At 35.4% G+C, this 23613-nt stretch overlaps 1 protein-coding gene across 1 annotated transcript in view; it reads right to left on the bottom strand.

Annotated features, from left to right (window-relative positions):
* The window catches only part of PTPN4 (protein tyrosine phosphatase non-receptor type 4), a 224978-nt gene that overhangs the window by 31850 nt on the left and 169515 nt on the right, over positions 1 to 23613 (bottom strand). Inside the window, exons 14-19 of the mRNA NM_002830.4 lie at positions 20501 to 20626; positions 18092 to 18250; positions 7810 to 7969; positions 6626 to 6709; positions 6476 to 6532; positions 921 to 1077 (exon numbers count right to left, since the gene is read on the bottom strand). Coding sequence (NP_002821.1) covers positions 921 to 1077; positions 6476 to 6532; positions 6626 to 6709; positions 7810 to 7969; positions 18092 to 18250; positions 20501 to 20626 — 743 coding nt within the window. The remainder of the gene's footprint in view (positions 1 to 920; positions 1078 to 6475; positions 6533 to 6625; positions 6710 to 7809; positions 7970 to 18091; positions 18251 to 20500; positions 20627 to 23613) is intronic.

The raw sequence follows: 23613 nt of genomic DNA, 5'->3' as shown, positions 1-23613 counted from the left end.
AGAAAGGGAGGTGGGTTTCTGGTAAAATTAGCTATTGTCAAAAAACTGAAGGAAAGGGGGTTAAACTTATAATGCATAGCACAGAGTGACAGACTTAGGAGCAGGACTGAAGAAAGATGGACTTTTAGTTCAATTTATAGTTTGAGCTATCCAAAGATGGAATGACCTGTTTCAGGAGCCACAAAGTGCTCTATCTATATTGGTAGAATGTTCTTGAGGTTGTTGTGGAGGAAATTCGTGCAATTAGCCAAAGAGCTAGAGCTTACGGCATTCAAGTTTTCTCCAAACCTGGAATTCTATGACTATGAATTAACAAGTCAGCTGTCCAGATTGGGAGATGACATGATTAGGCAAGTAGACATCATATACTGAAAACAAAGGCAGTATTTTAAAAACACTTTAACTATAGCTTGTTATGGCATTTTCTAAAAGTGGAACAGAGTTCAAATTTACTCATTCATTCAACTAGTATTTATTGAGTACTAGTACTACAACTATTACCATTTAGGGGAAATGGGAGACCATTTTAGCTATGGTAGTCAGGAGAGAAAGCCCTTCTGAAGATGATATCTGAGCAGAGACCTGAATGAAGTATAGGTATAAGTCATAACAAAATCAAAAAGAGTATGTCAGCACAGGGAACAGCAAGGATAAAAACCCTAATAAGTCGATTAGATTGGAAGATCTGAGTAACTGCAAGAAAGCTAGTGTAGAATAGAGGAAAGTAAGCAAGGCTGAGTGGGAGCAAGGGGTGGGGGGGCAAAGAACTTGAATTCTGCTCCACGTGTCAATGAAAGCCACTGTGCTTTGAGCAGGAAACTTAGGTGACTTATGTTTTATGTCAGAAATCTGGCTGCTGTGCTCAGTAATGAACAGTAATAAATTACTATAAATTATCTGGTACTACATAGAGTACTCACCATTAGGTCGAACTAGAAGCATGAGTTCCCCAGAATGTCTCTCACAACTAGCTTTAATAAACAGCACAACCTGATCATGAGTGTGTTCTGCAATGTCCCGACCATTGATCAGTACAACTTGGTCCCCTTCATTCAGTCTAGGGACACAGAGGTCAGCCTGTAATATAATATAGATAAGGTTTCAGATTGGCATGCAACTTTCTGAAAGTAGAGCACAGGAATTTATTTTAATAGACCCAATAGCAGGAGAACTAAACTACATATAGAAAAGCATCTTTCATTTATTATCTATTTAAAAAATGTAGAAATCTAGCTTTGCCAGAGAGAGTATTTTTGTTCCTTCTTCATGCAACAATTTCTTTCCTGATGACCTATTATGTGCCTAGACCTACAAATAAGACTGATGATTTCCAAGTACATACACACAAGTAGCTTTAGCTTTACACTGTCTAGATACATACAAACTTCAGTTACCATGATTTAATTAAATAACAGCAGTCCCCCAACAATACAATTCAAACTTTAGTTACCACAGTGCATTTACCGTGAATAACTGTAAAAAGTACACAAAAATCACTACATAAATAATAGACACACATCATCATCAGTGGCCAGTCACATCAGTTCTTCCAAAGTCTGATGGTCATCTGTTTTCAGTTCAAGTGCAGACAGGAAAGCATGTAGTTGGGCTGCCTCCTAGTCTCCCAGTGATAAACCCATATTAAAATGAATAACCTAAATCTAAAGAGGAAATTGATCACAAAAGATGAAAGTGCAGCAAAGTGAATAATGCTGGAGGTGAAGTTTGAATGGACCATAAATAGAGTCAGAGAAGCAATAGATGACCATGGGAATGTTAACACTGTTGTTGGAGAGACTCTAGATATGCAGCCAAAGGAACTTTTGGAGATATTTCACAACATCAAAAGTTCAGAGGACAAAGTACTGAAAGTGTGTCAAGTAGACAGTATTATGACAATTTGCCAAGGCAAGAAATGAAGCTCATTTGGTATTCTAAGCTGTACCACGGGGAGGAGGCAAGCACCGTTTAAACTACTCATAATGAGTTTTCACAAGAAAATAAAACATTTAAATTCTCAGTGTTTCTAATGTTTTGAATTACAGGATACAAAATCCTATATTAGCTTTACTATTTTTTTCATTTCCTTTTACCTTTATAAGAGACAGTAAAGGAAATTCTTAATGTTTTGACAATAAATTTAAAGGTCATGGGAACAACCATAATTTTTCCTATTAATCATCAAGATCCTGCACAATTTCATCTTGCATGGTCATTTTTATAGTCTTGCACTATAGCACAAAGTGAGAAGACAAACAGCGATTAAGGTAAAAGAGACAAAAGAAATAGAAATATGGACATGTTCTGGGAACATAGCAATGAAAACATATGAGAGTGAATTTTGAGGAATGATAGGCCAGGTTGAGAAGGAAATGATGGGGTTGGATCTTACAAAAAAGGGAACTGCTTGTGGTAAAGGCATGAAGAAATAAAAGCACAACTACTGAAATTCTTTATCAACACAAAGTCAATAAAATCCAATAAGGCACTGTCATTAGTGGAAAAAACACTGGTCTAGAAGTTACTCTGCTGCTTCTGAAATGAATGATTAATTAGACATCTGAAGTTCTGAAAAGACATCTGAAAATGAAAAGTTCTGATTATTTCTTAGAGTTGTTGTGAAGATGAGATAATTCAACCCAAAGCTTTAAAATCTGGAACGTTCAAATTTAGAGTTATGCTCATTCTCTCAAGTTGCTTTTTTGTCTACTTATGTAGTGAAGTAGATGACAGACATTCATATATTCCCTCTGTGCACTAGCAGTATGATGCTTTTGTATACCAATTAGTTCCAAGTTTTTGTAAATGTCTTTGAGATACCTGAAGTATAGTGAATTGGGAGCCAATGGTACTGGGGAAAATGTAATAATGGGCTATAGCAGACAGAGCTTTTCCTCACATTATTTTGTGCATAGTGTAGTTGGCAGAAAAAAAGAGGTGGTCTATGTGTTAAAGAGGATAGCTATGAATCTCTTACTGTATCCATTATCACTAAAGGGAACTCTCTTATAGTTAATATGCCTTTTGTCAGATATGTTACAATTTTTCATTTCCATTTCATTCTGATCTGACAAGTCTAAATAAACTGTTTGTGTGTATATATACACACATACAGAGCAAGACCCTGTCTTGCTCAAATATATGTTTGAGGGTCTTGCTCTGTGTGTGTGTGTGTGTGTATTTCAGACAGGGTCTTGCTATATATTTGAGACAGGGTCTTGCTCTGTTGCTTAGGCTGGAGTGTAGTGGTGTGATCATAGCTCACTACAGCCTCGATCTCCTGGGCTCAAGTGATCCTCCCACTTCAGCCACTGGAGTAGCTGGCATCACAGGCGTGTGCCACCATATCTGGTGAATTTAAAAATTTTTTTTGTAGAAACAAAGCTTCACTATGTTGCCCAGGGTAGTCTTCAACTCCTGAGCTCAAACAATCCTCCCATCTTAGCCTCCCAAAGTGCTAAGATTATAGGCATGAGCATCACACCCGGCCAATAAACTACGTTAAAATGAGTTTTGTTGCAGCAACGGCTTTTGGCTAAGATTATCAAACAGAAAGAGAATCATAACTTTAATTGGGAGTTGTTTTATCCATTTCAGAAGATGTCCAATATAAAAAATGACAATAAAATATTTGAATCCCATAAACATGTACAACTATTATGTATTCATACAAAAACAGAAACCTTTTCCTTTTCCCCCGATTGCCTAAACTGTGGTTTCCAATTAGAAGGTTGTGGTGATCTCTAAATTAACAAAATAATACAAAAATAATAAATTCCTATTGTTTTAATTTTTTCCCCCAATAGAATGACTATGTTTTAATTTGCTCTAAATTCCAGCCAATATTTATGGAACATAGTTCTACATGGCAGAAGGGAAAAATTACCAACAATATGTACAGATTAAAAAGAGAACTTAACAGTCTTAGAATTCTGTTTGGAAATGAATATATCTATAGAATATTCTCTGAATCCTTGACTTAATTGAAAACTATCCATATTCATTGCTCAGAAAAATGAATACTTTTTTTATGCGTGTGAGTCATTGACTATTACAACTGTCATGTAAATAAAGAAATGTGTATTATCTTTTCTAATTATAAGAGCAATATATGCTCATTGTCATGATCCAGACAATTAAAAAAATACAGAATACCTGTAATTCCATTACCCACTGTTAACTTTTTTAGCACGTTTCCAGAATTTTTCTATGTATCTAATATTTTAATAAACTGGTTCAAACATATATGTGAAATTATATATTTTTCCATAATGCCATCGTATGGATATATTTCCATATTTATATAGTTACATTACCATCTCAATAGACACAAAGCAACATATAACTTGTTTCCCCAACTTTAACGATGAGCATTTTGATTATTTTTCATTTTAAACTGTTAGAAACCATACTGTAATTAATATCCTTGTATTTCTTTGTTCCCTAGTCCACATTTGATTATTTTTCCACTTTAAACTGTTATAAACCATATAATTAATATCCCTGTGTAAGTACTCTTTGTTCCCTAGTCAAACTATTTCATTAGGAGAAATTCCTAAATGTGAAACTGTCAGGCCAAAAGATATACAACTGCTTTTTTTTTAAGTCTTAAATTTTTGTTTTTAGCAAAGTTATAAATCACACCATTAAAAGATTTGACTAGGTTTATAAGACTGTTAAGAAACTATTTGTGTTCCTCCCTACCACCTCCCCATCTCTAGAGGCAACTTTTTTCAACACTTTAGATATATCTTTCTGTATTTACCTCTGCATCTCTAACATCTCTCTATTGTTATTCTTTTCTGTTTTAGATATTATCTATTAACTTTGTACATGATAGATAATTCATCAATCCTTCATCCCTTCATCTGCAGTCCCAATCATATTCATATTTCCCATCAAATATATATAAAATAAATAATTTTGGATTATCTCTACCATCTTTGTCCCCATCTTTTACATACATATTAATAGTATGTCCCCAGGAGTCATTTTATACATAATATCCCCGGTCTTGTCCCCCAGTCACAACGGACTTTTTTCAAATAAGGAAATAGGATCCACGCTGGGTCTATTAAGGGTTTACATCCCAGGAGTTTATAATTTAGACTGAGAGGTCCCTGTGGGCTACTGAGCTGGTAATATACAAACCTGGAAGTTATTAGTAGTCACATCCTACTACATGGATTGAGGATCACAATAGCAGTAGGTAGTTACACAATTTCTATTTAGTGGAGACTTAGGAGTCACAATCTGATGTGTGTGTGTGTGTGTGTGTGTGTGTGTGGTAGTGGTGTTACAAAACTCTGCTTGAAGCTGCTACTAAGTACACTGTTTTTACTTAGACTGGAGTGTTTATCTGGAGTGGCTTGAGAGGTAGGCTGATTCAATGTACAAATTCATTCACACTGAGAGGAATCAAACAATCACATAAAAAGAAACAGATGAAAAGCAGAAAAGTCGATGATTTTAAAAGTTTCCTGTAGAGGTGTGATTGCATTCATGCTCTTTAGTTTTGTGTGACACCTCAATAGCTATCTGATGTATTTATATTTAAATAAACTATTCTGTGTTTATGCTCATGCCAGGGGTATTCCATGAGTACCCTGTTATTTTCGCAAAAAACAAGGTCCTTAAAAACCAGAACCAAAACCACATAACATGATATCCTTGATCAATCTCAATTGTGATTTTCAAACCAACTTTGAGGTTGCTGCAAAGCACCAAAAAAAGCATAGCTGGCCTCCCTCTCTCAGGCTGCTGGTTCATACCTTTCCTAGAACAGAGAGACAGTTAAATGATAAAAGGTGCTTGAAGATCATTTAGGTAAGAAAAAGGAAAGTAAACAGAGTAGACAACATAAATAGGAATTTGAAAGCAATACTTGTTATATAAAACAGTAATAAAGATGATGTACCTACAATTAGTTAAGAATTGTCCTATGATGAACAGAAAGTTCATGATTGTGGAAGCTGAACAATGAGTAATAGGAGATTCATCATAATGGATATATAAGTTTTCTCTACTTTTGTTTAGAATGTTCATAATAAAAAGTTTTAAAAATTATCCTTGTAGTATCATTTCCATTTAAAGTAAAATTTTAAAGGAGTGCATAGGCAAGTATAATGTACTTAAATTACTCTAATAAAAAATAAACAAGCAAACAAAAACCCCCACGAAACTATACCTCTGTCTATATTTTGTTTTTTAAGGGGGTTATTTTGATAGAATCTGTTAATGCTTTAGAAGCAATGAAAGTCATAAATAGCTTCTTTATAAAAACAGGGATTTTAAATACTTACAGAGAACAAGTCAAAACTAACTTCCCAGCAACTTAAAGAGATTCAGCCAACATTTGACACTTGATAAATAAAAGAAATGATGAAATTCCTTGTTTTATTTAAACTAGTAAGAATTATAAAATAAGTACATATTCTTGAAAACAGGATTTATTTGAAACATTTAGATAACTCACAGGTGTTCCTGGTGCTACTCGAGACACAATCACAGGCATCTTCTGATCATATCCTCCCTTAAAAAGAGAATAAGTAAAATGTTAGTCAAATATTACCAAAATAAGAACATCTTAATTTAAAAACTGAGTATAAAATAAATTCCAGATTACCTTTACATTGAATCCAAACCTCCCATTTTCATCAGGTTTCATTCTGATTAGGACAAGATTATCATGTGGAATACCACCATTAGGCTTAAAAAGACAAAATTAAATAACTTGTAATTTTCTTCACTTAAAATCTATTCTTCAGATATATAGGAAGCATATTTTTTGTATGCTTATATTATGCATAGTTTGTAAAAAATCATAATTCTAATAAAAATTTTAGTTCAGAAGAGTAAATTCTTTGACTAATAACTTGCAGTTAGCCCAACCAGATATATCCTCTCATGCATTCTTACGAGCATATGCTAGACTATTAAGTGACAGGAGGAACAGGGGCCATGTCTGTCTTTATTAATTGCTATATCCGTAGAATCTGGCTCATAGCAAGCCAGGTTCATATGTATGAGTATACAGAGGGTGCTCATAAGTGTTACATGAATTCAAATGATACTTCCACTGCTTGATATATGTGATTTTAAAAAACAGCTTTATTGAGATATAATTCACATATCATTCACCTATTTAAAGTGTATATTTCCATAATTTTTACTCTTGTCACAGAGGTGTACAAACATCACTATTATCTAATTTTAGAATATTTTCATCAATTCCAAAAGAAATCTTGTATCCATTAGCAGTCGTTCCCCATTTTCCCACCTGCCATCCTCCAAAGCCTAGTCAACCACAAATCTACTTACTGTCTCTTGACAGATCTGACTGTTTTGGATATTTCACATATATGAAATCCTACAACACATGGCTATTTGTCCTGGGCTTCTTTCATTCAGTATGTTCTTTATTGTTATTTTTATTTTTAATTTTTATTATTATTATACTTTAAGTTTTAGGGTACATGTGCACAACATGCAGGTTTGTTCAGTATGTTCTATGCCTGCTCTTTGAAGGAAAAAATCTGACTAGTTCTTATCAGAGATGATCTCTTATAGGAATCTTCCCTTAACCCCACAGCTTATTTAATTATATACTCTATGTACTCCATGATCACTTCTAATTATAGAACTTATATTGAGATACATCATGGCACAATTCAGGACCAAAGAATATGATGAAAAAGAGAAGGTACTGTAATACAACTTACAACTAAAAACTGCCAAAGTACAAAAGAAATTTCATTTAGGATTTTAAAAATTCAAATAAAAATGAGAATATCTGAAGAAGCTACTTACAGTGGGTTTTTCAGGAGAAGATGGAATATCAAATGTTTCATTAATATGACTTTCTAGATCTTGTTGCGAATGTGAATAATGAATTTGGTTCCAACTGTTTTTCTTTGACTGTTTGGGTGGTAAAGCTGGAGGCTTCCCATCTCCAGGGGTCTCTTGTGATCTAGACAAGAAAACAAATTTGGAAGTTGTTTCATAACTTTTTTAAAAGTTAGGGTCAAGCAACCCACATATTTACAATGTCTGGTAGGAGACAGGCTCTAAATACCATATTTATTTGGAAGTGCCACTTTTTAATGAAAATTTTCCTAACTTTGAAGTAATAAATCTAATTTCCTACTTTATCAAATTTATAAACAATTATATAATAAAATATATTATCAAGGTATTCCTGTGAAGATACCTATTAATCTATTATAACAAAGTAAACATCTTTCCAAAAAAATTTTTTTAAGGTTGTCAGAGGAGTCACGGGTAGCCAGGAATAAGGTAGGCAAGAAAATCCAGAACTGATAATTGGGTAGTTCCACAGATAAAGTAACTATTCCAGCCTAAATAGCTTAAGAGATTGGCCTAATCTATTTAGAAATAAAATACGATTCATGGAAGTAATGAATTCAATGATGCAGTGAGGATTGGAAATCTGAGTAAGAGTGCTGAGATCATCACCAGAGCCAAAACTGGTTGAGATATTGTCAGAACATATGATTTAAGGTGAGAAAACAAAATCCAATTAACATTAGAGAGCATAAGCCTCAATTTGTGGCAACAGGAATTGATAAAAAGAGCTAGATATGATAAAGGTAACTTCAGGTCAGAAACTCTAGCTTTTAACAAGCATAAAATGTATAAAAACATTACTTGTGAGCATTCCACAAAGGCCAAAAGTAGAAACTTGTGGTTCAACTTGTGTCTTAAGAAGTATGCATCCACAGAAGTCGTGGATTTGGGAGAAGTAAAAGATTAAATAGGTAAGCGGAAAATTGTTCTTGATAAGAACACTGACCACTATTGGCGTTATTATCTGATAAAAGAATTACTGTCTTATTGCCTAAGGACAGGTATAAGAGAGATGACAGCTACTGTGTCAAGCCACATGGCTGCTGATGTGGCACTGAAGCACACATTTTATACCTAGTATCTGCTCTTCTGTTGACTAACGGGACACCTAACATCCAAGCTATAAGGTCTGGAGATAAGGAAAATGTATTAGATGATATTATCATTAAAAAAAAAGTTCTTCTTCCCCCCACTGACATTAGGCCTGGCCATGTGACTTGCTTTGGCCAATGACATGTGGGTAGAAGTGGAATGTGTAACTTTTGAAAGGAAGCTTTAAGAAACAGTTTATGGGCTGGGCACAGTGGCTCATGCCTGTAATCCCAGCACTTTGGGAGGCCGGGGTGGGCGGATCACGAGGTCAGGAGATTGAGACCATCCTATCCTGGCTAACATGGTGAAACCCTGTCTCTACTAAAAATACAAAAAAATTAGCTAGGCATGGTGGCAGGCGCCTGTAGTCCCAGCTACTCGGGGGGGCTGAGGCAGGAGAATGGCGTGAACCTGGGAGGCGGAGCTTGCAGTGAGCCAAGATCGCGCCACTGCACTCCAACTTGGGCGACAGAGCAAGACTCCATCTCAAAAAAAAAAAAAAAAAAAAAAAGAAAAAAATGAAACAGCTTATGATTTCATTATGCTTCTTTTTTCCCTTGCCCATGAGACTAGCCATGTCCCAAACAGGGAATGCTACCAGTCTGGGACCCAGAATGAAGATAAGGTAGAGCACAGCCACAGATGACACATAATGTACATACAATGTAAGAAAGAAAGAACTTTTGTTATGTCTCTTTAAGTTAGGCTCATTTGTGATCAAGCATAACAAGATAACTGATACAGAGATTTACTGCCAGAGTGACCCTTGGATACATCTGTTCTCCCTTGTAGAGGAGGTGTAAGCTTATTGAGAGGTTGGCTGCTAGACACCTAGTAAATAAGTGTTGTGAAACTGAAAGAAAGTATGATCAGTGCCAAGGAAGTCAGCTGGGATTAATAATGAATGATGTGATTGTATGGTCTTAAAGAGAAGTTTCTCCTAGGAGAGATTAGAGTCTTTCTGAAATTTTATAACATGGTATAAAATATAACTGCAAAAGAAGCAAGTGAACAGCAATGCCCACTTAGCCTAGATGTCTGCATAGAAATACTTCAGGGCACAAATGCTCTAAATTCTGCCAAGTCTACAAAGACTGCATCAGAGCATACATCCCTCTTTTTCAGCCAAAGCTTCATTGAGGTCTGCCTTAATGGCCAGGGCTTCCAGCTCCCAAATGTGGTAGTTCTTATGTTACTTTCAACTGCCAAGAATACAAGCTTCTAAGGGCCCATAGATTCAAGTATTGCTTGTCTAGGGAAATGTTTCCATGGATTAGAATAGAGATATGTAACTCAACCACGGCCTACTACATAGGATTAGAGCACACAGAGATGGACATCCCTTAGCAGAACTTAAGAGATGCAACATTTTTAAAAGGCAGTTGATAAGAATCTCTAAAACTTTACAAATACCAGAAGTAATTGGACTCGACATATATAACAGGTCTCACCCCTTACTTGGACCTAAGTGTAACCACTTAGGCAATATAATTAGAAACTCTTTCTGCTTTGCATACAGTTGTCATAACCAGGAAACATTTAAAAGCTAAATTTAAAAGCTGAGAAAAAAAATTTAAAACTAAAAGCCTGTGGGAAAGGGAGTAAGGTGGAGAACATATGAAAATGGAGTCAGGGAAACCTTCCTTATTCTTGGTCCAGCTATCAGTTTAAATACAGCACCAAAATATACAGGAGAAACTCAAGCCTGATCAGCAGTGGTATATCTAAGTGAGCCAAACCTGTATGGGCCTATCGGTGGCAATACTCAGTTATGCCTAACAGTGGCATACTCAGTATGGGCCTAACAGTGGCAATACTCAGTTACATGAGAGGGACAGCACTGATTCTATGGTACATTTTGCTAAAACTGTTGAATCTCTACTTCTGGGGTTACAAGAAACACCTCCAGAGGTGGTTTTTATTGCGCAATTATGATTAGACATTATTGTCCTAAAAGAGCAGTTATAAATTCATGGATTATGGGCCAATTTTGGCCAACATACATTTGGACCATTCATTGTTTTTATAAAAATAATTGAGTTAAACAATTACATTTTTAAAATTGCATACAAATCTAGATTTTCAAGATGAAAAATCTGGAAGCTCCGGAAAGAATGGGCCTGCAGTACCAGTTGTCAAACACTGTATAAAGCCAAGTGGCAGCTGCTGTCTTTAGATGCAGCATGAGCTCTATAATCTACACAAATCTCCATCCCGTGCTACTTGCAAGACTACAGGTATTTGAGAATAACCTCTTTTAACCTCTTTTTAAACAATCAAATCAAGCAGGAAGATACAGATAGGAAAAGAGCCCAAGTATAAATGCTGAGGTTGGGATTTAAGCCAAATTATAAGGAAAAGGTGAGGAGAATGAAGTATAGATTAAGATGAAGACGAAAGGACAGTAAAACTTTGGATTTCAGGACAGAGCTACCTGCCTTCTCACTGTCTTATGTAACTTTCTTATTAAAGTAACTTTTCAGAGAGTGGCAGACAGGCTCTCCATATGCCTGACTGCTGCAGAGGGTTAGGTTAGTCTAGGGAGCTCTTATAATTTAATTATGTACTCTCACAGTAATCCCTGTAACTGTTTCCCTTTTCTATACTTCTAATTTCAATAACCAAACTGTATACATACACAACCAAACTCTATACACACACACACACACACACACACACTCTGAAGTCTATAAAAGTAATCAAGGATGTCAACACAGACTCCTGAAATTCAAATATTGGGCAAAGGTTATCAATTACATTTTTTAAAAGACATACTCCAAGAATATTAATTCAATTTACTTTAATGAATAACTTTCTTCTTCATTTCTATTGTACAGCTATCATATATATTTATTACTTAAACAGTTATCTAGGAAGATGATTTTCATAGGTAAACCTTGCATTATAATTAGAAATGATACATTAAAAATAATGTCATGAAACAGTCCAATTCTTAAAAACAATACTATTTCTAAGTGCACACACACAAAAATCTGCCAAGTATAAGAGAATGAAGAGACATGATGCAATTTGGAGAATAACCAGGCAGCATAGTGAAACACAGCCCTGTCAGAAATTACAGCTGGTACCCTCAAGAAAGAGACCTTTAATTTTCAAAGAAGGCCAGCATTTACTGGCTTTAAGGAAGGGAGCTGGAAAAGATCTGAGTTAGGGAAAGTGAGAAAAAAATGCAATCCTGAAGGGATTATTTTATTACTTTTAAAAAAGAAAAATGAACAACCCTTGAAAATCATGAATTTTTTTTAAAAAACGGTAAAGGCACAATTGTACATAGAAATCTGTCACAGAAGCATAAAATTTATTCCAATAGACTAGAAAACAAAAACTATATTCTTGTTAGACACTAATACAAATGTGCCAGAAATTGATGGCTCTTTAAAAAACTCTTATTTTCCAGCCTGGCCAACATAGCAAGACACCATCTCTACAAAAAATTTTTTTAAAAAAATAAACTGGGGATGGTGGTGTATACCTGTAGTCCCAGCTACTCAGGATGCTGAAATGGGAAGATCATTCAAGAACAGTAGTTTGAGGCTGTGGTGAGCTATAATTGCGCCACTATGCCCCAGCCTGGGAGACAAAGAGACCCTGTCTCTTAAAGAAAAAAACAAACCCTTATTTTCTAAGATGTAGATCAAGAGAACATGTCTTATTTAACTATAACCACTACTGTTATTCTAGTCTTCAATTACGCATTTAACCCAACTTATACTCTACTTATATTACATTAGATACAGATAAAATTCTGATTCAAAATTCAGGCTTCTTAACACTTTGGCTACTTTATTCTGATAATGACAGTGTTTCAAAGTAAATGTCACTTCAGGTTGATTACCAATTAACGCACAAGGCACTTTAAAAAGCTCGTGTAAACTATCAGGGATATGAGTAATATCTAAGAATAGAACTGACAATGTCATGTGATTTTAACAGTAGGAATCTATTCCAGAATAAGCCTCCCAGCAACCTGAGATTCTTGGTTTCAACCAAACTCAAGGTGTCTGCCCTTAGCTCCCAAGTGCAAGTGACAGAGCCTTTAGCCAGAGATGAATGGTAGGTAAGCATACTGCAGCTACAGTGTCCGGGGACCTGTAATTAGTCTTGAAGCCATGAATACAACAGCATCTAATATGTTACATTCTCTAAGTCCCCATGGCTTGATATCTCCTTCTATTCAAACCTTCGATTTTTTTACTTCCTTGTCCTAGAATAGCCTAGTATTTGAAGAGTTCACAATATATTGCTAGACTTGATCAAGACTGGAATAGGAATTGGGGACAACTGAGTTGTAGATGGAAATCATCAGTGCCAGTAGCTGAGAGGGGTGGAGGAAAGGCAAAGCTTTGAAGACCAAGCAAAAGGAACTGAAGAGGTATAGACAAAGCTGCGGAGATTCATTAGATAAGACTAGAATGGAATAGTCCAGGAAAGAATGGCTCGGGGAACTGGATTTAACACTTGAGGATGGCCAGGCACGGTGGCTCACACCTGTAATCCTCCCAAACAACTTGGGAGGCTGAGGCAGGTGGATCACTAGAGCCCAGGAGTTCAAGACCAGCTTGGGCAACATGATGCAACCCTGTTTCCACAAGAAATACAAAAATTAGCTGGGCATGGTGTCATGCTCCTGCAGTCTCAGCTACTTGGGAGGCTGAGGTGGGAGGATTACTTGAGCCCAGGAGGTCTAGGCTGCAGTGAGCGGTGATTACACCACTGCACTCCAGCCTAGGCAACAGAGCAAGACCCTGTCCCTAAATAAACAAACAAACAAAAAGCCACTTCTGGATTATGAAGTCTGTCTAGAATATCTTGTGATTAGGAATGTAAGAATAAAGTTGAGAATCTGGAGAATTCTTCACTGTCTTCAACCAGATGCTCACACTTCAAATATCCAGACAAACTGTTGATAATATATTAAAAGTTGTTGGAATATATCCCAAGAGCTTAACTGAAAAAAGCTATATAATTATTATATGCTTATAGCAACTCTTTGAGGTAGATATTATTATCACCCTGTTTTTTAACAGTGAGGAAACAGGCTTACGGAGATAAAATAACTCACCAAAGGTCACCTAATTAGAAGTAGTGGAACCACGTTTTAAACCTAGTCTGAATCCAGAGCTTGTGCTCGTAAACACTATGATATATAGTTGCATCTAAAACAAAGTAACTGCAAAAAGGAGGAAAGTTGTTTTAAATCAGAGGTTTCCAAACTTTTTGTGGCAGTGGAATCTTTTTCTAAAAAAAAAAAAGTTTCTCAGAAGCCAATTTATAAAACAGATAAATGCTAATAAGCATCCCCCACCCCTGTCAGTATCTGAGGCCTCAACAGAACTCCCAGAACTTATCAGAATATATCCAGAATATGACTATTTTAAATCCCTTTTTTTGGTTATAAATGGTAATACTGCTATATTTTAAATTCTAACACAAATCACTTATATTTTAATGAACAGAAAGCAAGATTAGTAAATATCAGGGCTTATATACATCCATATTTAACTTTAATTGATAACATTTCTAACTCAATTGTTTTAACATATTTAAAACCAATAATTTGCCTAAAATGTACTAAAGGAGGGGGCACCAGGGCTCAAAACACATACTGTACACAGTTTACCCACATAAAAAATTTACCCACATTAGCCAGGCATGGTGGCTCATGCCTGTAATCCCAGCACTTTGGGAGGCCGAGGTGGGTGGATCACAAGGTCAGGAGATCGAGACTATCCTGGCTAACACGGTGAAACCTGGTCTCTACTAAAAACACAAAAAATTAGCCGGGTGTGGTGACGGGCGCCTGTAGTCCCAGCTACTCGGGAGGCTAAGGCAGGAGAATGGCGTGAACCCGGGAGGTAGAGCTTGCAGTGAGCCAAGATTGTGCCACTGCACTCCAGCCTGGGCGACAGAGTGAGACTTTGTCTCAAAAAAAAAAAAAAAAAAAAATTATCCCACATTTAAAAAAAAGTACTATTCGTGTTAACTTTCGGTTGTTAAGAGAAAGGAAAGATGGCAATATAATTCTAAAAGTGTTCCAAATGCCCAACATTCATATTGGGGCTTTTTACCAAAAATAACTTGCTTATCTTAAACTCTGACCTTTTTTTTTTTTTGGTTTTGGTTTTTAAAAGATGGTGTCTTGCTGTATTGTCCAGGCTGAGGTGCAGTGACTATCCACAGGCACCATCATGGAGCAATACATCCTCGAACTCCTGGGCTCTAGTGATCCTTCTGCCTCAGCCTCCTGAGTAAGCTGGGACAACAGGTGCACACCACCACACTTGGCAATCTGACATTTTGGAAAATGTTAAGTGGAGGGTAAATAATGAAAATGTTATATTCGAGTGTACTATGCTGGTAGCAGAGCAATATATTGTCACATAGTAGCAAAAGTTTGTTAGAAATGTCAATCAAGATGTGTGAAAAAATGTGCACAATTTATTTCAGTCCACTGAGCTTTAAATTTTCTTATAAATGCTTCAACAACAGCAGTGAAAAAAAGCTTATTTTGCAGTTAATGCAGCTCTCTGTTGCCGCCTTTAGAAATTTGTATGCTAATAAATTTAACCATCCAATTCACATGCTGTGTTGTAGACTGTGGTCTCCTTTACTTTATCCTTAGCCTATAAATGGTAACTTTATTCTAAACAGTATAAGCAACCTCCTGTACTCACTTAAATAAATAATTGGTAAGATGATTTTATCTGACAATTAAAAAAAGGTATATGTGAAAAACCTTAAAAAAAATCTATTTCATTACATGTTGAAATGTTCTGTGCTTAATCCAATACATCATTTAAATTCTTTTCACATTTGGACAACAGAAAAACTGAAATCTATGGATTCCAAGCTGCAAAGTATTTTATCTAAATTGCAAATCAAAAAACATCTATAACATCTTGTTGGGGATACAAAGTTCTCCTGGCTGATTCTCATGCTACAGAAAGCCCGAGTTTCTGTTCTGTAAATTGGGACAAGTGTTCTAAGTGTGGCTTTCTTATCTATAAAATGGATATTACATATCTTTCCTATTTCACTGAATTCTCCTGAATAGAACAGTGAGATAATTTATGTAAAAGTGACTGTAAGCAACTAAGTAAGTTATTATTATTAAGCTTATCTTTTCAGAACTCTCTCATTATTCTTAAGGTTAAAAACTGGTTGAATGTCAAATGCAGTAATATAGATTCAAAATGGAATACAAACACATAAACCTTATAAAATATATGTCCAAGGAGAAGGCTCCAAGCATTTTATATTCTTGTGCACAAGAGAGAAGAAGCAAAAACTCTTCACAGTTCCAAGCTACCCTGAACTCGCTTCTCCACTCAAGTCAGGAAAGTAGAATAAAGGTGTTTTGAGATGGCAAATGTATTAGTCCATTCTCATGCTGCTATGAAGAAATACCTGAGACTGGGTAGTTTATAAACAAAAGAGGTTTAATTGACTCACAGTTACACATGGCTGGGGAGGCCTCAGGAAATTTACAATCATGGTGGAAGGCACCTCTTCACAGGGCGGCAGGAGAGAAAATGAGTGCATGCAGGGGAAATGCCAGACACTTATAAAACCATCAGATCTTGTGAGACTCATTCATTATCACAAGAACAGCATGGGAGAAATGACCCCCATGATTCAACTACCTTTACCTGGTCCTGCCCTTGACACCTGGAGATTACAATTCAAGGTGAGATCTGGGTGAGGACACAGAGCCAAACCATATCAGCAAGTGATTTGGGGGTTTGTGAATCTATAAAATTTACATGTGAGGCCGGGCGCGGGGGCTCACGCCTGGAATCCCAGCACTTTGGGAGGCCGAGGTGGGCGAATCACGAGGTCAGGAGATCGAGACCATCCTGGCTAACACGGTGAAACCCCATCTCTACTAAAGATACACAAAATTAGCCGGGAGTGGTGGCTGGCGCCTGTAGTCTCAGCTACTCGGGAGGTTGAGGCAGGAGAATGGCGTGAACCCGGGAGGCAGAGCTTGCAGTGAGCCGAGATAGCGCCACTGCACTCCCGCCTGGGTGAAAGAGCGAGACTCCATCTCAAAAAAAAAAAATTTACATGTGGAAATATTCAATTGCGTTTATATGTCTTTCTTTGGAAAAGGCCCTTTAAAAATAGATAAAGATAATTTTGTTAGGCCTCAAGAATTATATTGGTTTTGGTTTGTAATAATTAGGCTTTTTGATTCCTGCATATGATTCATTTTTATGTCACAGAAGTATGTAATTTTAAAAATCAAATCAATATTTCAATCATGTCCTTAATTACTATACTTTTTAAAGTTTTCAAATTAGAACATATATAATTATTAAAAATCAACTGGAAAGTTTAGAATTATAACTTCTAAAGTAATAAAATATTAAATCTCCCATCAATCCTATTTCTTGCCAACTAATTCCCCACAGGTATCATTGTACAGTGTGTATCTGTCCTATTTCTCCATTTTTAATAATATATACACACAATCAAAATGTTTTACCAAGATATACATCACGCAGGCTGAACTCCTACTTGTTTTGATAGCTCAGCCAGTCTTCCTTGGTTTACCCTACCCAGGGACAAACATGACCCTACACCTGTACTCTCTTCCACCTACCACTCTTGGGCCCACTCTTTACCCCTGATCGCACTCACTATATCTTACACCAATTTCTCCTTCTCAAGAAATAAATCTTCTTACCTATCTACATAGGTAAATTAAAAAATCTTCTTACCTATCTACATATCTTGTAAGTATTTTAATTTTCTCAACACTTTTTACTCATACTTATGGTTCTTTTCCTTTAAAAATATTAAGGAAACTCTGCTTTAACTACCCTCCTCCTTGACCAGAGTGCTACATCATCTGCAGAAATATTTGAGTTTATATACTAAAAACTGAAGAACTGTCTAAGTCAACAAAATAACAACATAGTGACTGGGTCGGGGAGGGAGAGGCAACAAGAACTCTCAGGAACAAATGAGCATAATTGCAAACATACACATTTTGAAAAGTTGCATAATTAAAATCTTGTATCGAATATCCTAATTTCCCAGATTATTTTAAGTAAAGCAATTTGGGGCATTTGAAAATACAGAGGAAGCAAAATAAAAAAGCTCTTACGGTGATGATTCCAGAACAATGCTATTAGCTTGTGTTGATGACGGAGATCTCTGATTTACAAACACTTCGCTTGGGGAAGTATGAACCATATGGTCTACCAAATGACCAACTGAAGATGGTCGTAACCGGGTTCCTTCCTGCGTGAATGTAGAATTTCGACTAAATAAAGAGGGAGAAAAACTGAATAAAAATATGCTTCAATTCAAAATTTCCAAGTTTCTTAATATATGGTTACATCAGAAAGGGGGTATGTGTTTTTAAGTCAAGCCATGTTGACTAAGCAATCTCTGAAAAAGACAGTGTGATATAAACAGAGGGAACAGAGAATGGGAAGTCAGTGATCTGAGTTACAATCAACAATCTGCCAAGGATTCTACCCATAAAGTTACCTACTATCTCTAAGTGCCTTCATGTTTCTAGGTGTTAGTCACTATGATTTTGTCTTACTCAGCATTTATAAAATAAAGGGATTAGAATAAATCATTTAGAAATATATTCTAGTCTGAATTATTTTTTAATTGTTATAAATGTTTTTATTTATGGGACTTTCTTTGAAGCCTTAGAGTAGATACTGAATACTATATTGCCATCCTCTTGACAGTCACACAAAGTAGTGTTATTACAATTTTTAATTACAATATTTCAGTATTTATGTATGTGTCAGACATTTCTCTAAGCATTTCATTTAATCCTCATAACAGTACTATAAGAAAGACATTATTATAAATATAATTTTGTAGATGAGAAAAATGAGACAGAGATTAACTTGCCCAAGTTCAAGCATACAGTGATTCCAGGGCCCATGCTCTTAACCACCACCTTGTACTATCTCTTCAGAATTTTAAAAAATCTTTTTAGATTATACCTGAAATTGTTTCATTAACCAGAAAACTTAAACAGAGCTACTGTTAATTAGTTACTTGAGTACTTTGGCTTAACTTGCTATTATTTTCTATAACTTGCTATTATTGTTTAGTGTTGCTGGTACAAATGGAGAAATGGCTGTTTGTGCAAAAGGGAAGAGAAAAACAAGGTCTGAATTTTCTTCAGACAAGCTAATGAGGCTTTGAATATATGTAATCATTTATAAGAAAAAATGATAAAAGCAACCTGAAATTGGCAAGACAGAAATTACTAAGTCCATTTTTTTCTAGGAGTAACTTTAACACGTTAAGTATTAAAGCTCTGTGAACCAAACTGTTTATGTATAAACTGTTCTGATATGGTAGAACTTTATTCTTCAGCTGATAATAGCCTTCAATGCTCTAGCTGTTAGATTTTTTTTTTTTTTTTTTTGAGACAGGGTCTCACTCTGTGGTCCAGGCTGAAGTGCAGTGGTGTGATCTCAACTCTGCAACCTCTTCCTCCTGGGTTCTAGCAATCCCTGCCCCACCCCCCTGACAGGTGCACGCCACCATGCTCAGCTAATTTTTGTATGTTTTTGTAAAGATGGGGTTTCACTATGTTCACCAGGCTGGTCTTGAGCTCCTGACCTTAAGGAATCCACACACTTTGGCCTCCCAAAGTGCTGGGATTACAGGAATGAGCCACTGCACCCAGCCACGTTTAGAATTTTATACAAATTTATTAAACATTAATGTGTGTAAAACATTTATGAAAAAAGACATCTTCAAATATTATATTTCATACCAAAATTCAAGTATTTTATAAGTGAACCTTATGGGTTAACTAAGTATGTTAATATGGTGGCACACAATTGTTTACCATTATCTTAATTACATACAACATTTGTAATATTATCAAATTAAGATAATCAACATCTTTGGCTGGTACATTTGGCTAGTTTATGAACTTATAATCATTTATACCAAAACATACAACTTTTGTGAGCAATGTCAGACTGAAGTACATATACGGTAAGTGCTGAATCACACAGTGCTTTTTAGCTCAGGGAGAGCTAAGCTTATGGGGACTGGTGCTGGAAACCCCTTTTCCTAGGCCATAGAACGTGCTGAAGCCATGGTTGAGCTGGGGGTTTAAGAGAATCCCAATCACTTGCAAAGCATTTTCAAACAATATATGCTCCCCTAGAAATTCTGCTGGGAATCCACATGAAAAATGAGTATGTCAACAACAACCATACAAGATTTTAAGTCTAACAGATCTTCATTTATCAGGGACTCTTAACTGCGAAAGTTAACTGTTGAGGAGAGTGAGAGTGGAGGGTCCTTATTCAATGCGCTACTCTCATTCCGCAAGTCTATACCATGTTACTTCTGCAAAGAGCAGCAGGCAAAGAGAAAATAATGCTCTGGAGCAACAAAAATCATGTTTCACCAAAAGAATTCAATTTTTGCGTATCTTTGTCTTCAGGCATAAAAATATACAGCCAATAATTAGAAATTAGCAAAATTCACACCTGATGTTGGTCACAAAATTCACACTTACTGATTAGGAGTTCCCGGTGGAGATCGTGATGGAAGACTTTGTGTTTCTAACCTGTCATCAGATATTGAATTTCTGCTTACTACTTCCCAATCCATTAATTTCCGTGCCAAGGGCTTACTTGGGGATCTGCAGAAATAAATTAAATAATATGTTAAAAGTTTTATTTTTATACCCCAAACCATGAATCAAATCCTACAATTTGTTTTCAGAGATTATGTTCTAGATGAGCAACATAAAGAGTTTACTTGTAAAAAATTAATGCATTTAGAGGCTATTTACCAAATAACTTCCTAAGAATGTACATTGGCTTTATATGAAGAATAAAGGTAAGACAGGCTAGGAAGAGTAAGATAGACAATAAGAAGGATGAGAAAAACAGAAGAAACAAGAAAAGGAAGGACAAAGGTAAAAAGGGAAGGGTTTGCTACCAAATGTTTTCTCAGATGTTACTGACAAGACAGATACTACCTACTTCTATTCCAGAGTATCTGGAACACTAGCTTATCTTGGGATGTATTAAATAACTCCTCGCACATTATCTCCTGAATGCTTCTATAACTAAATCCCAATCCTCTGCCTCAATGAAGACAGAACAAAAATAATTATGCATATTACATTTTATCTACTTAAAAAATTGTTTACATATAGTAGGTTAGTGGATTTTTCCCTTTTTTCCAAAAACATTTTGGAGGGTTAATAATTCTGTCTATTGGTGGGGAGTAAAAGGATATGTTTTGTTACCAATCTATATATTATCAGCTATCCTAATGATAAAGATGAAAACTAAGTGATGTTTTAAAAAAAGATCTTGGATGCGCGAGGTGGCTCAGTGCTGCAATCCCAGCACTTTGGGAGGCCCAGGTGGGAGGATCACTGGAACTTAGGAATTCAAGACCAGCTTGGGCAACATAAGGAGACTCTGTCTCTACAAAAAATAAATTAGCTGGGTATGATGGCAAGTGCCTGTAGTCCAAGCTACTTGGGAGGCTGAAGTCAGAGGATCAACTTGAGTCCAGGAATTTGAGACTGCAGTGAGCTGTGATAGCACCACTGCATTCCAACCTGGGTGACAAGAGTAAAACCCTGTCTCAAAAAAAAAAAAAAAAAAAAAAAAAAGAAAGAAAGAAAGAAAGATCTTCATATTGATTCATTCAGATCAAAAGATACTGATCTATGCAGAGATCATAAACCCTTAGAATTTTAGGAATGTTAACAAATAAAGTATTTTTTATATGCAAATTCAGATAATAGACAAAATTAGCTGAAAATATATGTTATTTCTTTAAATGCCTGGCTTTATGAAGTGCAGAGTTAATGTGGAGGCGAATAATTTAAGCTACATATATAAAGTATATAATAAATCATCTTGTAAACAGTTTTATATTTCAGTAATTAACTGAAGCATATAAAAACTATATGTATTTTCCATTCCAGCACAATTTACAAAAAATGAAACATCCTGTTGTCTTCCTACAAAAATCAGATCATAAAAATTTAGGTAGAAATACCTATTTGAGTAAAATTTAAAAATGAAGACTATTTTTGGTTATAGTTAATAAGAATCATAGGCCTTTGTTGTGTGACTTTGGATTTATTTTCAGATTTTCTTATATTGATAAAGAATTGCAGGTAGTATTGGACTTGCTTTTTTAGCTCATTGGGATATTTTTCTCTCATCATGTACTATGTATACACTTCTGTATGGCTAAAAAAAAAAAAACAATTACCAAGGAAGGCACAAAGCAAATGCAATATTAACTCATCTGATTACATTAAAACTTAATAACATTAGAATTCTGATACATAATGATCTCATGAAGTTTGAAGTTTCACTGCCTGCTAGAATTTCCTTTCCAATATGTTAAACGTGTAAAAAGAAATGTCGGACTAACACGCACAATAACACTGACCAAAGAGAACTGAACAAATTGTTATTATGTGTACAGTAGGAAGCATTAAAATAATGATAAGGACTCTGAATTCTAGATGTGGCTTCCTATTAGACAGACCTCTTATGTTTCTGTATCTAAATGTATAAATTTATTAGCATAATATGACCCATAGGTCTCTCCCTACCTCCTGAATTTTATGATTTATGAATATCCAAATTTTCAGGGCAATATTTTAGCCTATTAATTTTACTAAACCACGAAAAATTTAAGTTACTTATGAATCTACACCACAGAAGTGTCCTGTCATTTCAGCAATTCATAGCTAAAACTTTTTTAGTTTGGCCTAATGACATTTCCTTAATCAAAAATCTTGTAGGCATTTTATAAGACATGGAATGTTATTAGTTTTAAAAAAGATACATTGACTCAGATTTCATTTTCCGTAAGTGAATTCAAAGTAATTTAGGTGTGAACATTTCCCATTATCACAGGTTTAAATTATAGGATTTTTTGATTTGAAGACAACTCATGACACCGTTTAGTTCAACTCCCTCATATTGCAGTGCAAATTTTCTTATCAGTCACAACAGAATGAAAATAAAGTATATTACCTCATGCATAAAACTTTGATTTTTAAAATAAAGATTAACATTTATGGCTCTATTAATGCTAATTCATAATGTAATAAACTATTATTTCCTCAAATATTAAACTACGAAATGTAAGCTGTATGAAAGTTCACTAACTGTAATCAATAGATCAACTACTTTCATTTTCTAAAAGCTGGAAAAAGTCATTTGAAGAAAAAAAATTCCAGCACACTCACCTAGTCTGAAGCGTCAGAACACTTTATTGCTGTTAATGGACTAAACATGGCTGGACACTTTGAACTTAAAACCAAACTTCATGTATTTTATTTTATTAACAGTTTTAACCTCAGGGACCCACCCACTCAAGCTTGCTGTCTATGTTTCCTGTTGAGTGTGGAAATTTCAGAGAAAAAAATACCACACAGCATCAGTGTGTTTGCGATGTGGTAAGCTTCTTTTCTGTCTAGGGCACCTTATTTTTCTGTTGTATGAGAACATTGTTTTTCTCTTTTCTTAGATATATTATATGACAACTGCAAAATGTGAAAGCAATTTGAAGAGGTGATAATCAGTATATGTGCTGCTGAGGCGAACACAAAGAGGTGATAATCAGAAAAAAGAAAAAACATTT

Source organism: Homo sapiens, chromosome 2 (assembly GCF_000001405.40).
Source record: "Homo sapiens chromosome 2, GRCh38.p14 Primary Assembly".
Classification (NCBI taxonomy): Eukaryota; Metazoa; Chordata; class Mammalia; order Primates; family Hominidae; genus Homo; species Homo sapiens.
The sequence above is the reverse complement of the archived record's forward strand: the minus strand, read 5'-3'. Positions and strand labels throughout refer to the sequence as shown.